We start from the raw sequence: 15,806 nt of genomic DNA, 5'->3' as shown, positions 1-15,806 counted from the left end.
CCTCCTGCCTCAGCCTGCTGAGTAGCTGGGACCACAGGCTCGCGCCGCCACACCCAGCAGGAAATATTTATCAGGAACCTGATGTGTGCCAGACCCTGGAGGCATCCTGACTCCCCAAGGCAGGGCGTCTCTGTCCCCACCATCCCTTCTCATGTCGGCAAAACCGAGACTAGAGTGTTGGGGGACTTGCCTAAAACCAGACAGCTGGCCAGTGGGGAGTGGGGCTCGGTGCACTGCAGCTACTCACTGCAGGCCTTGTCTTTCCCGTACACCATGCTCCTCCCATGGCCACCTGTGAGGCCCCGGAAGCTGCTCTGCTGCTCGGCACACGAGTGGCCAGGGACTGGTGAGTGAGCGACTAGCTGCCCGGCCACACCACGGCGGGTGCAGAACGGGGTAGAGGGCGAGGAGGGGGACGCTGCGGGTATCTCTCCATATCACATGACACGGTTCAATCGTTATTGTCCCAACTAGATAGAGATCTCATGATCATTTCAAACAATCTGCTACTTTCTGATTATAAATGTAACACATGCTCACTATAGATATTTTTTGAAAAAATTAATGACAGAAGAAAATAAAACCATCACACTCCACTACATTGAGAAAACCACTCTCGACAGTCTGCTCAGATAAACTCCTGGTGTTTCTTGATGCGATTTTTGCATGGGTGAGACACTTACTTTATATTTTGCAATATGAATTTATATCGTGAGCATTTTCTCATTATCATTTAAAATTCAAAAACAGAAGATTTTAACCACAGAGTAATATAAAAAAAGCAGCCTATTATGATTTTCCTCACCATGTTCCTCTCGTTGGGCATTCGTGGTAGCTCCCGGGGTTTTTCCCCCACCCCGAACCACTGTTTTTTTTTTTTTTTTTTTGAGACTGTCTCTCCCAGGCTGGAGCGCAATGGTGCAGTCTTGGCTCACTGCAATCTCCGCCTCCTAGGTTCAAGTGATTCTCCTGCCTCGGCCTCCCGAGTAGCTGGGACTACAGGCATGCACCACCATGCCTAATTTTTATATTTTTAGTAGAGACGGGGTTTCACCACGTTCGCCAGGCTAGTCTCGAACTCCTGACCCCAGGTGATCTGCCTGCCTCGGCTGGGATTACAGGCGTGAGCCACTGCGCCCAGCTGTGTTTTGCTTTTGTAAACCCTGACGAGCGCCTCCACGCAGAGGGGCCATTTGTTCCCTTCCAGACTCCCTTTGAGGACTTCTAGGCTGGCCGCCCAGGGGCAGTTAAGCGACACCCTCAGGACAGCTGCTGGGCTAAGGCCCAACTCCCCCGAATCCCGGGATCTGCTCCTCCTCTTCCTGCCTTCCTTACCCTGATACATTTCCCCACCCCGCCCTGCTAATCACCACCCTCAGTGAAGACAGAGGAATGAGGAAACTGTGGGAATGAGCTACGGCTCATTGTTACCCGGGGGAAACATGGCGGCGTGGTAATGAAGCCCACGCCCAGCTGAATCCTGAGGGCTTCAATTAGAAATTGATTATGAATTTACTAGGAGCATGTAAACGTCCCCACTCCACACTGTCGTCCTCAAAGGAAGGCCTCTGCTGCAGCCATGTGCAGCCCCCAACACAGTGAACACCCTGCTCAGAGCCAGTCATTAGCAAACATCTAGCTACCGCACCTAATTATTAGATTCTACTCATTGGAATTTATCCAAGTCCCTGATGAGGCTGGTGGTTTTTGAAAGCCTAGGCCTGGAGTGAACATCAACATTTCTGATGTAGGATGGTTAATATGTTTTTCACAGGGCAGCAAAGAGAGGAGAGTTAGATTAAAAGCCGATGCATTTACCTTCGAGCTGTCTGGTCTCACCTCAGCACTCCCTCACAGGCCATGAGAAGGCCCAAGCTAACAGCACATCAGGTGTCAGAGGCCCTGAGAGTGTGGGCAGGGGCAGGGGGAGGACAGGCGTGGCAGGATGACTACCAGCTGTGCCATCTGGCTGGGACATTTCAGAGTGACACTTACACCAGGATGACACGTGAAATCCAGAGTGTCCTGACCAGGTCAGAACGAGGTCACCCTAGAGAGAGTTGATGACCTCAGAATACAACTGCGTCTTGCAGTCAACTGGGCAGCTGGGTTGGAGGCCTCTCTCAGCATCATTCTCATCTCTCTGGGAGACTCATGGCTCCTAGGAGTTGCCAAGGGGTCTCTGGCACCTTTTCTACCCCCTGCCCCTCCCTTTAGCTCCTGTCTTCATCTGTGTCCCTCATGGCACCTGACACCCCACGAGGTTCGCTGACCTGACCACACGGAAGCCAAGCGTGACCGGGGCTCCCTGCGTGTCGCTTACCTGCAACTCCTTGACGACTCGCTTTATGAGGAATGTTCCCAGCTCCACCCCTTGGAGTCCCTGCTGGGTCAAGCTGATGGAATAAAAGATCGCAGCAGTGATTTTGTTCTTCTCTTCTGTTTCTGATGGAGGATGTTCCTTCACGATTGCCTGGAAAACACCAACGATGGTTCTAAGGGTGGCCTGGCCGCTCTGCAGCCCACGAGGCAAGCCTGTTGCTGGGACGAGAAGACAATTCTCAGAGCACTGAAGGAGCTGGAAGAGACCTCGGCTCCCCAGCTGGGGTTCAGGCTACAGAGCCTAAAAGCTGCTCTGTTTTGAAAACTCTCTGGAGGAGGCGACTCCACCGCGTGCCTGGGGGTCCTCAGCACTGCATCGTTTCTTGAAATTTTCATGCAAACTTTGTTGAAGAGCAATGTATGCCCCTTTCTGTCTCTTTTAGGCCTTTGTGCAAACAAAAACTTGCTCCATAAACTCTCCGGCCAACACTCAGCGATAACACACGGATCCTTGAGACCAAACAGCTCCAGTTCCTTCAGCTTCTCCTAAAGGACTGACGTTTCCCACCACTGAATTGTTTTTCCTCCTTTTCTCTGAACCCTAGGTTTTTCAAATTTCTCAAGAGGCTATAAGCAGTCCTATATAATTTTCTTTTAGGAAATATACCTTTGTTTGACTTTTTCATGTACCTTTTGGGTTTTGTGCCATTTCTGTTTTTCCTAAATGGTAACACATTTGCAGACATCCCTGCGAGGCATTCTAAGAAACGAGCTAGACTGGGAAGTCGCTTAGCTGAAGTCTGAGTTTATTGCCTCTCATTCTCACGGCAGCGTTTTCTAATCCCTTATACTCCGAAGCATAATCCTTAACACTCCAAAGCTCACTGGATAACAGTGGAACAGCAGGGGGCTACCTTTTCATTTGCTTTGAAGCAGGGAAACCAGCTTACTTTTGAAGAACCCATTTAAACTATTTTAACTTCTACCAGCGACCTTCGATTCTGGAAGTAGGAGCGTTTAGCTCAGACTGCATAGATGAGGTCTCGTAGTCAGTCCATGAACTTTCTGAAATTGTTCTGAAATTGTATGGAGGCCGGGCGCGGTGGCTCACGCCTGTAATCCCAGCACTTTGGGAGGCCGAGGCGGGCAGATCACGAGGTCAGGAGATCGAGACCACCCTGGCTAACACGGTGAAACCCCGTCTCTACTAAAAATACAAAAAAAATGAGCCGGGCATGGTGGCAGGTGCCTGTAGTCCCAGCTACTACGGAGGCTGAGGCAGGAGAATGGTGTGAACCCGGGAGGCGGAGGTTGCAGGGAGCCGAGATCATGCCACTGCACTCCAGCCTGGGCACAGAGCGAGACTCCGTCTCAAAAAAAAGAAAAAAAGAAAGAAATTGTGTATGGAATGTGTGAGTCTATGCATATCTGCCCTGAGGAAAACATCCTCAGCATTTTTCCCTCCAGATTCTTAACAGGGTCTGTGACTCCAACAAAGTGAAGAAATGCTGCTGTGAGGAAAGGGGGAGAGCTCATGACATGAAGGACATATCCTCCGAGGCCCGAGAGGGGCCCGCTGTCCTGCACCGTGCTCTATGGAAGAGCTCTGTCGTTCATAGGACGGAGCTCACTTCACATCACTCCCAGGCTTATCTCCTTTCTTTTTTTTTTTTTTTTTGAGATGGAGTCTTGCTCTGTCGCCCAGGCTGGAGTGCAGTGGCACGACCTCGGCTCACTGCAACCTCTGCCTAGTGGCAAGCGATTCTCATTTGTGCCTCAGCCTCCCAAGTAGCTGGGGCTACAGGTGCACACCACCACACCCGGCTAATTTTTGTATTTTTAGTAGAGACGGGGTTTCACCATGTTGGCCAGGCTGGTCTGGAACTCCTGACCTCAGGTGATCCGGCTGCCTCCTCAGCCTCCCGGGGTGTTGGGATTCTGGGCGCGAGTCACTGCGTCGGGCTCTCCTTTGTTTTTTAAGAAGTCTGCAAATTATCTTGTGATTCCTTATGCAAAAATCCCAGCAATCTTTTTTTTAAGTTTTCAAAATAAAAACAAAACTTTCTTCGGTTATACAAGTGAGGTATGTATAATGTCAAAGAGACAAAAAATTGATAAAACTAAGTGAATAAAACAAAAAGAGGCAAAAAAAAAAAACCATGCATAAAAAAAAATAACCAATTACTCCAAAATCTAATCTCCATGACTGTTGCTGCTGCCCTTTTGATGAACACCTTTCCAGGCCTGTCTCAGAGGCTCTCGGTACGCACACAAATGCACACAGGACTGCGTACCCACGCACATTCTCACGTGCCCTTAGAGTCAGGATGCGAGCTGGGTCTGAATTCCAGTTCCGCCCTTACTTGCTCGATGATCATGGGTAAGTTGCGGACGTTCCCTCAAGCCTCGGTTTTCTCATAATAATACCTATATCAGCCGGGCACGGTGGCTCACGCCTTTATAGTCCCAGCACTTTGGGAAGCCGCGGCGGGCAGATCACCTGAGGTCGGGAGTTCGAGACCAGCCTGGCCAACATGGTGAAATCCCATCTCTGCTAAAAATACAAAAAAAAAAAAAAATTAGCTGGGCATGGTGGCACATGCCTGTAATCCCCAGCTACTCGGGAGGCTGAGGCAGGAGAATTGCTTGTACCCGGGAGTTGGAGGTTGCAGTGAGCCGAGACAGCACCATTGCACTCTAGCCTGCGCAAGAAGAGCGAAACTCCGCTTCAAAAAAAAAAAAAAAAAACACAACACCACCACCTAAATCACAGGGTGCTCAGGGCAATAACACACAAAATGTGCTTCACAGACTGACAGGCACAGAGCACTACTCAACAGATATTATTAATATTATTCATAAGACCACACCATACCCATGCTACTCTATAAACCTGAACTTCTACTCAAGAGTAAGTCAAGGCTGGTTTTCCATATAAACCTACAACAATATTTAAATACATGCACAGATATCTGATGTACACGAGGCCGCGCCATGTGTCTACAGCGCCCTCCTGGAGCCCATTCTCTCCTGATGGGCCCTAGGTTATCATCCCCACCCTTTTGAACTGTCAGCAATGCTGCAGGAATAGCCATCTGACTCTCAGGGCTGAGCATCTCCCCAGGAGAAGTTCCTAGGAGTGGAATTGTTAGGCCAGAAGGAATGCACATTCTGAATTTTCATCCATGTTGCCAAATTGCCCTCAGAGAAGTCAGAATGGCCCCTAGTCCCACCAAGAGGGCATCGGAGTGTGACTCTTTCACACACAAACATTGTAAGGGAATGTGTTTCTCCTTGGTGATCAGGAATGTCTGCTCATTTGCCCTACTCAGCTTCTCTAACTTCTCAGCAGGACACCTGCTTAGGGCACTCATCTTGTGATGGGCCATCATCCACTTAGCTTCCTAACAGCCACTCATGTCCTCTTGGTCTGAGCAAACCTGCAATGCCCCAGGGGTCTCATGCTCCCTGCCACCTATCTTTAGCACTCCTATTTCCAGACCCTGCAATGTGCTCCCTGGTTCTTCTGCCCCCACGGGCCTGCAGGAGTGTTTCAGACATTCTTGCCAAACTCATCCAGGAGCAGAGCAGCTTGCCACAGACGGGGCTATCAACCACAAGTCCCATAACCTCCACTCGCCAAGGAGTGTCCTCGGCCCACATCAAGCATAAGGGATGGAGTGCCTCTTTCAATTTTCTAATCAAGTATCTTTCAAAACTCCCCACAGGCATTTAACAAAAGCTGTAAAGGTAAACTATGTATGAATCAGGTATCTGTCCCTTCTTCCTTCACAATTATTTTCTGCCTCACAAACATGTTCTGTGATAGACTTTAACTGTATCTCAACCTAAGATCAACACAGCCAGATGAATGCTCGCCTTGCTCCATAACTGTCTGCCTGTTACACTTCTACGCTCTACACCTACAAATCTGGAGATTTTATTTAACCAATTTAAAAAAGCCCAAAACCATTTATTTAAAAAAAAAAAAAAGGAGGATAAAATCAAGTAAAAACAAAACAAAACAAAAAACACAAGGGGCTCTATGGGGTGCCCATCTTGTCCCGAATTGACCATCGCAGGTACCTGGATGTTGCTGGAGATGTCACCAGTCAGTGCCACGTGCAAAACGACCAGGGGCTCCCCAGGGGTCGAACAGTGAGAAAAGAAGTAACACCTTCTGTAGGGCCCAACGCGGCGCTTCATGTCCATCCAGTTTTTTACAGGATGCACAGCCTCAGCCCTGGGGCGGAATTTATAAAGAGACAAGACAAATGCATAATTCACAAGCAACGGCTGCTGACTCCTATTCATACTATTCGTCTAAGTCAAACAAGTTCTTTAAATAGAGCTTTAATGGACTCTTCTGGAAAATTCAAAGAAAGTCATTTTCATGAGAAACAGCACCCACTGAGAGGAACTACAGTGAATGACCATTTTACACACAAAATTGTGCTCCAGTTTTAACCCCAGTTTTAAAAGGAGTTTGTGAGGCTCCGGGGAAGGATTCATGCAGATTTTAACGTGAAACCTAATCAAACGCTTGGTGTTGAACACTGTCTTTTCTTTCCTTGGGATCTCTGTGAAGCCGTCAGTGCTGCAATCAGGGGGCTCATCTGGTGTCTTCCAGCAATCTCGCCCCACCGCTATTTTGTTTTCAGCATGTGAAATGGCAGCAGGCACTGTCAGCCCTTTGAATTGAATTGGTTACATTTCAAATAGGACACTTTTCAAACCATGGATTCCATGGGACAACATGTAATGTGAAGATGCCTACGTGCAAAGGTAGTGAAGGCACCGTGACATGCTAGCCTGTGTCATACGGGTCCTGGATGTAACTAACACATGATATAGTTTGTTTAGAGATTTTAACTCAGGGAGAAATCTTAACCACCAGGTGGGCTAAATACTGTTTTGATTACGAATGCAAACGCTTGGTCCAGTGAGTTTCTACAACTCTGATCACGGGGTCTTGGGACGAGCGAAAATGGGTGTGTTTGCTTTAAATAAGAGGACACAAATAAGACCTCACACGCAGGTCACTGACAGACATATCAGTTTCTCTTGGTGCCCTTTCGTCTTCCTCCATAATCTTAGTATCATGTGTGGTGACAGCCGCAGCATTTGCAAATACTGTGTTTGGATTTTATTAGACTTGAAATAAACTGTACATATGAATGGAGATAGATTAGCTTTTAGCCAATATAAAACATACACAAATATATATGAAAAATGTATGTACAAAGAAAATGAAAACCGTAATACTTACTCACTGATTTTCTGAAGCACTTCACACGGTGAATGCCAGGTAACCCGTTCTAGGTTCAGGAACCCGGAGGAAAACCATTCTGAGAGCATTCCTTTCAGCACCCCATTCATTTCCTGAAAAGGAGAAGATAAATCCCAGGCCTCCAATGTGCGACAGATCAAGCCCATCTCTGTGTTGTGGTCAGCACAAGGAATGAAAACACTCAAGCACGATACATAAGACAATTGTGCAAGACAACTCTCCAAACAGCTTTTCCCAAGATTCCTCTGTCAGACATCTTATCTCAAACCAAGTCAGGCTTTCTTTCGTTCAACGCTCTATTTAGACTTAACTACTTCAGTCTGTTAAGACCTCTGAAGGAAACAATTCAATTTGAACTAAGTTGCCCAAATCAAATAATATCTTCCAATTCGTTCACCATAGTGAGCATACTAATCATATAAAATCAACATAACAATGAAAGATGCACTGTAAGGGAAACACTAAGACAGCAAGGGTGTCAACAGCACTGTCCTCATCCTCTCGGGAACCTTCTTTGATACGTCAAAACATTACGCCTACATTTCCTAAGAAAGACAAGTACTTGGTTCAGGAACCCTATTTCATCAACTCAGAGATGTACATTTTCATATTTTAACATCTCTCAAGTCAGGATGCATCTTTCGAATGATGGCGGGTCACAGACTAATTGGCAGCATTTTTGTTTTAAGAGACGGGGTCTCACTCGGTCACCCAGGCTGGAGTGCAACAGCATGAACACGGCTCGCTGCAGCCTTGACCTCCTGGGCTCATGTGGTCCTCCTGTCTCAGCCCCCCAAGTAGCTGGGACTGCAGGTGAGCGCCACCAAGCCTGGATAATTTTTTTTTGTCTTTTTTGTAGAAATGGGGTTTTGCCACGTTGCCCAGGCTAGTCTCGAGCTCCTGAGCACAGGCAATCTGCCTGCCTCGGCCTCTCAAAGTGCTGGGATTACAGGCGTCAGCCACTGTGCCCCGCCGTAACTGGCAGCATTTTTAACCTACCTTAGAGGGACATAAAATAATAGCGTATCTGGCAACCAATGCATTTCAGAGTTGATGAAATTATCCTAATTTTGCCTCACTTATTTATATTGTATCTACTTCCAAAAATGATGTGAATTGACTTGACCACCCAAGATACATCTGCACTGAAGCTTTTCCAGCAAGAGCAGAACACAAGGCCCTGAGCAGGAGCAGCGTCGCCTCGGTGCTGCCTGCACAGCCACAGCTTGTTGTTCCCCGATGGCTGTACCCCTTTTCTTTCAAATTAACAGAAGCCTCACTTTTCAGCTAGGGACACAGCTGTCCAGAACAAAGATTGCACTGCGGCTGGGGGCAGCCATGTGACAGAGTTCTGGTCAATGAGGGGTAAGCAGAGGTCTCCTGCAGCCACTTTGGGGAACTTGAAAAGACAGCAGGAGCAGGCCCTTGGCCCATCTTTTTCTTTGTCCTTTCCACTGCAGACTGGAAGGCGGTGTGATGGCTGGCATTGGAGCAGCCATCCTGGGCCACGACGTGGCTTTGGAGATGAAGGTTTTTCTCGGCAGAGCAACAAGATTCAAGTCTGAATCCACCAAGAGCACCAAAGAGCAGAATCAGCTCTGGGCTGCCCACCTCTAGACTTTCACATGACAGACAAACTTCTGTCATATTCAAATCACTGTTATTTTGGGTCTTTGTTACTCATAAACTACATAGTAACAGATCCACTGAACATTATTATTAAATAACAGTAAACATCTCAGGACATCTGATACAAGAATGACCTTCTGAATCTCTCTACAAGGGTCATAAAGAACACAATGGGCAACACCTATAAGAATGGCTTTACAACAGCTAGAATTTTTTTTTTTTTTTGAGAGATGGAGTCTTCCTCTGTCACCCAGGCTGGAGTGCAGTGGTGCAACCCTGGCTCACTGCAACCTCTGCTCCCTAGGTTCAAGCGATTCTCCTGTCTCAGCTTCCAAATTTTATAAAACAATTTTACATTTTAATCCCTGTTAAAGGGTGAAAGGACTCAGAACTTTGACGCCTGAGAAAGAGTTGCAGGTTTTGGGGTGATGGCTCAGAGAAGTTTTCGGAAGGAGATGAGGTCTCCTTTTACATGTTTAAGCACTAGGGCACGAAAGAGGCCACAAATTTGTTCTGTGTGACCCCATGGGGGCCGGGGAAGGAAATCTAGGACTGACTGGTGGAAGTCATGGGCAGTCAGATGTGGACTCAATTTAGTGTAAAGAGGAACTTTTGAATAGCTGGAGCTGTCCACAGAGGTCATCCTGGGAGACGGTGACCCTCAGCACTGGAAGCCATCAAGCACAGGTGGACAGAACTCAACGGAGCTGTTTGAAAACGGATTTAAGCATTAGATAGACAGCTGGACCAGAAGATCTTTGCAATTCCTTTTAACTCTACATTCCATGACTCAATCTCCTTTACTTGGTTGTAAACGCCATAAAAGCAGGATCCACTTCTGATTCATTTTTATAGTTCGCAAAGCATTCACTAATAGATTGATATCAAATGAAAAAGATGGAAAAATGGAATGAATCGTGATTAGGAAGTAGCAAGAGGGCAGGATGAAAGAGATCATTTGCTAGGTGACACAGAATGGCCCTTTGTAAAACTGTACTTTCTGCATTTGACTATAGCAATTCTTAATCTTCCTGGGATCCTCTCACACTCTTACGTGCTAAAAACCATAGGCCCTGCCCCCAAAACACTGCAAATACATTAGTAAAATTGTGCATACGTTTTCCTGGGGTACATGGACTCCTCTGATACTTATCTATGGACCATCCCAGGGGCCAGGAGGGCTTCTGTACCCCAGTTTAGGAACGGATGAGCTGAGCTCTGCGTAAGAGGTACTGGTATCTGTCTTACATTCGTGATATGAAAAAAGCTGGAAATACCTAGTTTTACTATCAATTTAATATTAATTATGAAAGAAATGGTTTGGCTGATGAAAGCTCCTCCCCTACAGATCTCTTCATTCTATTTTGGGCTCCTGACAGCTACAAAATGTGACACTGGTACACGAGAACTGGGAATCCAGGCTAAAGGTTAGAAGTCTCCGTTGCTCAGTTCTAACACCGGCAGCAGCTGTTCAGGCTGGGATGAGCCACAGCACGCGGCAACGTTGCCAGGATACAAACACCACCAGGGAAAGAGGCCTCTGCAACTGTACGTGCGTTAATTCAGGCACCATTTATCACCAATACAAGACTGAGAAACACAACTGCGGGGAATATCCTGGTGATGCTAAGGGCAGCGACAGTTCTCAGTGGATTCTGCTGGAGTGTTTCTTATTTTTTTTTTCAGAGGCAGGTCTTGCTCTGTTGCCTAGGCTGCACTTGAACTTCCGGGCTCAGCTGAACCTCCCAAGTAGCAGGGACTACAGGTGCGTGCCACTGCACCCGGCTCTGTGTATTGTGTATTGTTAATTCCATTGACTTGTATGACACCGTTTAGACCAGCCCACTTTTCCTTTTAAAAGAGAAACTGGTTCCCTCTCTTTTGAAGCTCTATCAAGATCTGCTTATTTTGGTATGTGAAGAAAAGTTACCTTCCCTTGTCCAGAAGCCCTGCTCTGGGGAAGGGAGGATAAAGTCATGGATGAGGGTAGCACTGCAGAGGCTGAGAAATTTGGGGAAAATTCCCACTCACGTAAGCTGACACTCCGCAGGTGTACACTTGATGCTATGGGTATACTGTCCTATCTAAAAATAAGTATTATTTAGCATAGGTAAGCACAGAATTTACTAGAACCAACAAGGAGTACTCAATTAACTAAAAGGCAGAGGGTACGCAGGTGTCTAGCATGGCCGGGTGGCTGTGGCAGTGGGAACCAGGTCCCTTCTCTAGTTTCTGTGCCTCTGTTAAGGTTGGAGCACCTCTCATTCCACCCTAACAGCAAGGTCCAAACTGCCCATGAGGAACCCTTTCCATGAATTAAAGGCCAACCTTCCTCGAGTGCCCACAAATCACTGAACCTCGCTCAGACCTTCCCCTCTACTGGGGATTCGACTCGGTTTCACTGGGATTTCACCTCTAAGAAACTGAAGTCATCAACCAACTGGGCCTCTGGAGAAAAACAAAAAGCCTATAAACCACCATCCCCCAGACACATCACATCCTCATACCCACACCTACCATGCAACCACAGGGACACACATACCTCCAAACTCCTCTACATTCAGGAGGCCACAAATCCAGGCAGTAACAAGCCTCCAAACTCACTCAGATCAGAGGAAAAGAACATTTTAAAAAGTAAGAACACAGCCAGGCACAGTGGTTCACACCTGTAATTCCAGCACTTTGGAAGGCCAAGGCGGGCGGATCATCTGAGGTCAGGAGTTCCAGACCAGCCTGGCCAACATAGCAAAACCCCATCTCTCCTAAAAATACAAAAATTAGCCAGATGTGTTGGCAAGCACCTGTATTCCCAGCTACTCAGGAGGCTGAGGTGGGAGAATGGCTTGAACCTGGGAGGCGAAGGTTGCAATGAGCAGAGATTGTGCTGCTGCACTCCAGCCTGGGCAACAGAGCAAGACTCTGTCTCAAAAAAAAAAAAAAAAAAATCAGATTAAAAAAATAGATCAGATCATACCACATTAAGTGATTCTGGTGAGAGGTTACAATATCAGATCCCAGTTGATAGTTTATAGGTACAGAACAATCTAATTCTATTCTAAGACTGATTTAAGCGACAGGGATTTTAAAAAAATTACATCTGGGCTCACACCTATCTATAATCCCAGCACTTGGGATTGGAGGATTGCTTGCTTGAGGCCAGGAGTTCAAGACCAGCCTGGGAAACGTAACAAGAAAAAACATAAACATGAACAAAAAAATAAACACAAACAAAAAACCGTAAACAACAAAACAAAAAACCATATATATATATATATATATATATATATATATATACGCACGCACACACACACACACACATATACACATACATATATATGTGTATATATGAGAAAACAACTACGTAGAACAAGGGAAGGGGAAGGGAATTAATAGGTTCAGCTACTAACAGTTACATGCACTGAATATAAGGCTGGGGTTTCTAGGTAAAGAAATGGAAGGGGCACAATAAAGCAATCACAGAAAGGCTCCTGAAGCCATTATGTCCAAACCATATGCAGAGGCAAAGATCAGACTGTCGTTATTCATTCTGTTTGATAAACACCTCTGGTCCACAGGACTTTTGGCCTAGCATTACAGTATGCAATGTTTTTTTCCCTTCTGTAAATAGCCTTGGTCAAAAAGCAAGGAAACTTGTGAATGTCTAAGGACTCAGCAGCCTCTGTATTTCCCAGGGGCCAGCTCCTTTCTCTCAACAGTCAAGTCTGGATGTGAGTGTCTTCAGTTGCCATGCAACGTGTTCCTTCCCAATGACGCGATAACCAAGAGTTTTCTTGAGTGGGGAAGAACAAAAGGATGTATTCCACAGCATCTCACAGAACCAGAGAATTCAGAATTGGACCGGATGTGAGAAATCAATGAGGGACAAAGCTGTCCAAATGTCTGATATGAGGACCCTCTCAGCTGGGCAGAAACCTTTCAAGTCCTTCATGGCTTTCTCTCAGGCTCAAAAATCTATGACTGAGTGTGGGGCAGACTCACCTCCACACAAATGCTGAATGATTAGTGTGTCAAGTGTGTCTTATGCCAGGACACCCAGGAATCTATTGCAATGATTCATTCATCATTCTGCTATGCAAGAAATTTAAAGACAAGTTTCCCAGTTTTCGAGGAGCTGATCATTTACATGGGGGGATGATATACTGCAAGTACTATGTCCAAGTGTGGATCAGAAAAACTCAGCTATTCAGACTAGGCTTGAGCCCAGAACATGATAATTCAACACAGTAAGAATTCATGACTGATTCTGTGTCATGCAATTAGCAACTGTGGGCTTTCTGTCTGAGAATCTTACGGCCAAAGATGCCTGGCCCTCAGTAACACTTAGCGCTGTAAATTAACCAGCTATCACGGGGAATCAAATCATGGCCACTGTTGTCACTCTTGACATTAATCCCATACTTAATTATGCCCAATTTTATGCATCTAAGTAGCCAAAAAAGAAAGTTTCTAATAAACATCTGATTAACGGTAAGACAGTGATATAAAGCGTAGTGCAAATAACCCTGGATTAGGGTGGGTGATCAGCAAGAGCTTTTCGCTCTGAATTTCAGGACAAGTAACACAACCTCAGCATGTTCTCCTTTACTGTAAAAGGGATACGTGTTATCACCCACGTAAGACTGAAGGAATGTAAACTATTAAACCAGTATTAGAGTTCTTAAATGGGTCAAGTCATAATCATTCAAGTGTTCAATTTTTTTTTAACACCAACTGCACATAACAAACTTCTGAATGTCCAAAACTTCCTGAAACATTTACGTCATTTTTCGTTCATTAAAAGGGCAGGTTAAGCCTGGGCCACATGGTGAAACGCCCTCTCTACAAAAAAAAAAAAAAAAAAAAAAAATTAGCCGGGCATGGTGGCCTGCACCTGTAGTCCCAGCTACTCAGGAGGCTGAGGTGGGAAGATTGCTTGAGCCTGGGGAAGTCGAGGCTGCAGTGAGCCGTGATAACACCACTGTACTCCAGTCTGGGCAACAAAAATAAAAATAAAAAAAGGGCAGGTTAGTTTTTCGCCGTATTTAATACTAACAGTATAAAAGAAGAGTATATGTTGCTCTAGGCCTTCTTTCGGGTCATAATCATTTAAATCTCAAAGTATGTGTCTGCATTTAACATGAATGAACTGTGCTAATGCCTGATTACCTCAAGTCAACTCAGAATCATCACATTAAGTACTGAACGCAGGGAGTTAAATGCCCTCCCAAAAGTCATGGAGCACAGACAAGGCCAGAAGCCATGGAGACTCCTGGGTGGTGGTGGTGACCTTGAGTCCTATTTACCTTTGTGCATTTCACAGGACTTCTCAGGACAATGTCTCACACATAGCGGGTGCCCAGTGAACTTCTGAAACACCATCCAGGGTCTCAGAAGGCTGCCTGATGCTCTAGTTCAGGTATACCATATAGATGAAACACTTCTCAGCTACAATAATTTCAAAAGACTGTAGAGCACACACTAATCAGGTACGAGAGGTGACAGCTACCTTAAAGACCACCAAGTGCTGAGTATTTAGTAAACACTATACAAGTGAGGACTTCAAGGACAGACTGGAGGAAGGCGGGGGTGTGCTCTGACGAGGCCAGGACTCAGACAGCGTGGGAAGGGGACACAGTTGGCAGGCGGTAACTGCGGGCGAAGTGAGCGTGCTATCGGGCAGGGAAGGCGGGGTGTGTGGGACTTGGAGGGGGCAAGTGAGGACTACTCGAGGAGGGCGGCCAGTCCGCGCTGCCGGGGGATCGACGGCGGCCCCTTACCCGGACGTCCGGCCCCTCCACCAGCTTGAGGGCCTGCGCCTCCAGCAGGTCGGCCCGCAGCTGCACCAGGAAGCGCACGCCGCCGTCCAGCTTGCTGATGTGGTGGAAGAGGCCGCGATAGCGCGGCACCAGCGCGTAGCGCAGCCGGTCCTCGGCCTGCAGCAGCACCGCCGCCTCCCGCTGCTGCTGGCGCAGATGGAGCACGCCGGCGCTCTGCTCCGCCACCTGGCCGTGGTCCACGCCGAAGCCCCGCGCCAGGCGGCCCAGCAGTTCGGCCCGCTGGGCCGTCTCGGCCAGCCCACCGTAGAAGCTCACGAAGTCCGCGCACTGACCCTCGGCGGGCGCCGGTGTCTTCTCGCGCAGCTCGTAGGCCGGCGTCGGCGGCACCGCGCGGCGCAGCAGCTCGTCCATGGCCCGCTCCAGGGCGCCGGCCGCCTGCCCGCTCGCCAGCCGGGGCCCGGGCGGCCGCGGGGGCAACCGCAGCGGGAGGAGACGCCTGGCCGTCAAGCCTGGCCCGAAGCCTCGCATGGTGCCCCACAACAGCTGCCGAGGGGGAGCGCCGCCGCCGCTGCCGCGCTTCCGGCTTCCGGCGCGCGCCGGCCCCATTGGCCGAGGCCGCGAGCCCGGCTGGGGACGCGGCCAATAGGAGGGCGGGGCGGTGGGGGCGAGGCGGCGGGGGCGGAGCGGCTCTGGCGGCGGCCGGAGGCCAAGTGTGGCTAAAGGTTACTGCCCCGCGGCTGGGCTGCCTCGGGGCCTGCTCCCGCGCGGCTGGCGGCTTGTACTCCGGT

At 47.9% G+C, this 15,806-nt stretch overlaps 1 protein-coding gene across 1 annotated transcript in view, besides 7 other annotated features; it reads right to left on the bottom strand.

Annotated features, from left to right (window-relative positions):
• Positions 1-15,576, bottom strand: part of MLYCD (malonyl-CoA decarboxylase) — a 27,917-nt gene extending 12,341 nt beyond the window's left edge. Inside the window, exons 1-4 of the mRNA NM_012213.3 lie at positions 15,019-15,576; positions 7,592-7,704; positions 6,409-6,565; positions 2,324-2,473 (exon numbers count right to left, since the gene is read on the bottom strand). Of these exons, the coding sequence (NP_036345.2) occupies positions 2,324-2,473; positions 6,409-6,565; positions 7,592-7,704; positions 15,019-15,546 (948 nt within the window). The 5' untranslated portion in view covers positions 15,547-15,576. The remainder of the gene's footprint in view (positions 1-2,323; positions 2,474-6,408; positions 6,566-7,591; positions 7,705-15,018) is intronic.
• Positions 624-1,131: an enhancer, noted in NCBI's record as "H3K4me1 hESC enhancer chr16:83947165-83947672 (GRCh37/hg19 assembly coordinates)". NCBI's record gives its function as "activates a minimal SCP1, AML or CMV promoter by ChIP-STARR-seq in primed H9 embryonic stem cells {active_cell/tissue: H9 hESC(primed)}" and the evidence as "EXISTENCE:reporter gene assay evidence [ECO:0000049][PMID:30033119]".
• Positions 1,863-3,062: an enhancer, noted in NCBI's record as "CDK7 strongly-dependent group 2 enhancer chr16:83945234-83946433 (GRCh37/hg19 assembly coordinates)". NCBI's record gives its function as "activates an origin of replication core promoter dependent on BRD2, BRD4, P300/CBP, MED14 and CDK7 cofactors, with strong dependence on CDK7, by STARR-seq in HCT116 cells {active_cell/tissue: HCT116}" and the evidence as "EXISTENCE:reporter gene assay evidence [ECO:0000049][PMID:35650434]".
• Positions 1,863-3,789: a biological region, named in NCBI's record as "CDK7 strongly-dependent group 2 enhancer GRCh37_chr16:83945234-83946433".
• Positions 2,964-3,789: an enhancer, noted in NCBI's record as "NANOG-H3K4me1 hESC enhancer chr16:83944507-83945332 (GRCh37/hg19 assembly coordinates)". NCBI's record gives its function as "activates a minimal SCP1, AML or CMV promoter by ChIP-STARR-seq in naive H9 embryonic stem cells {active_cell/tissue: H9 hESC(naive)}" and the evidence as "EXISTENCE:reporter gene assay evidence [ECO:0000049][PMID:30033119]".
• Positions 5,423-5,944: an enhancer, noted in NCBI's record as "NANOG hESC enhancer chr16:83942352-83942873 (GRCh37/hg19 assembly coordinates)". NCBI's record gives its function as "activates a minimal SCP1, AML or CMV promoter by ChIP-STARR-seq in primed H9 embryonic stem cells {active_cell/tissue: H9 hESC(primed)}" and the evidence as "EXISTENCE:reporter gene assay evidence [ECO:0000049][PMID:30033119]".
• Positions 14,907-15,076: a silencer, noted in NCBI's record as "silent region_7770". NCBI's record gives its function as "represses an Ori minimal core promoter by ATAC-STARR-seq in GM12878 lymphoblastoid cells {active_cell/tissue: GM12878}" and the evidence as "EXISTENCE:reporter gene assay evidence [ECO:0000049][PMID:35858748]".
• Positions 15,377-15,806: a silencer, noted in NCBI's record as "silent region_7769". NCBI's record gives its function as "represses an Ori minimal core promoter by ATAC-STARR-seq in GM12878 lymphoblastoid cells {active_cell/tissue: GM12878}" and the evidence as "EXISTENCE:reporter gene assay evidence [ECO:0000049][PMID:35858748]".

Source organism: Homo sapiens, chromosome 16, assembly GCF_000001405.40.
Source record: "Homo sapiens chromosome 16, GRCh38.p14 Primary Assembly".
Lineage (NCBI taxonomy): Eukaryota > Metazoa > Chordata > Mammalia > Primates > Hominidae > Homo > Homo sapiens.
This window is presented reverse-complemented; position numbering and strand designations above follow the sequence as displayed.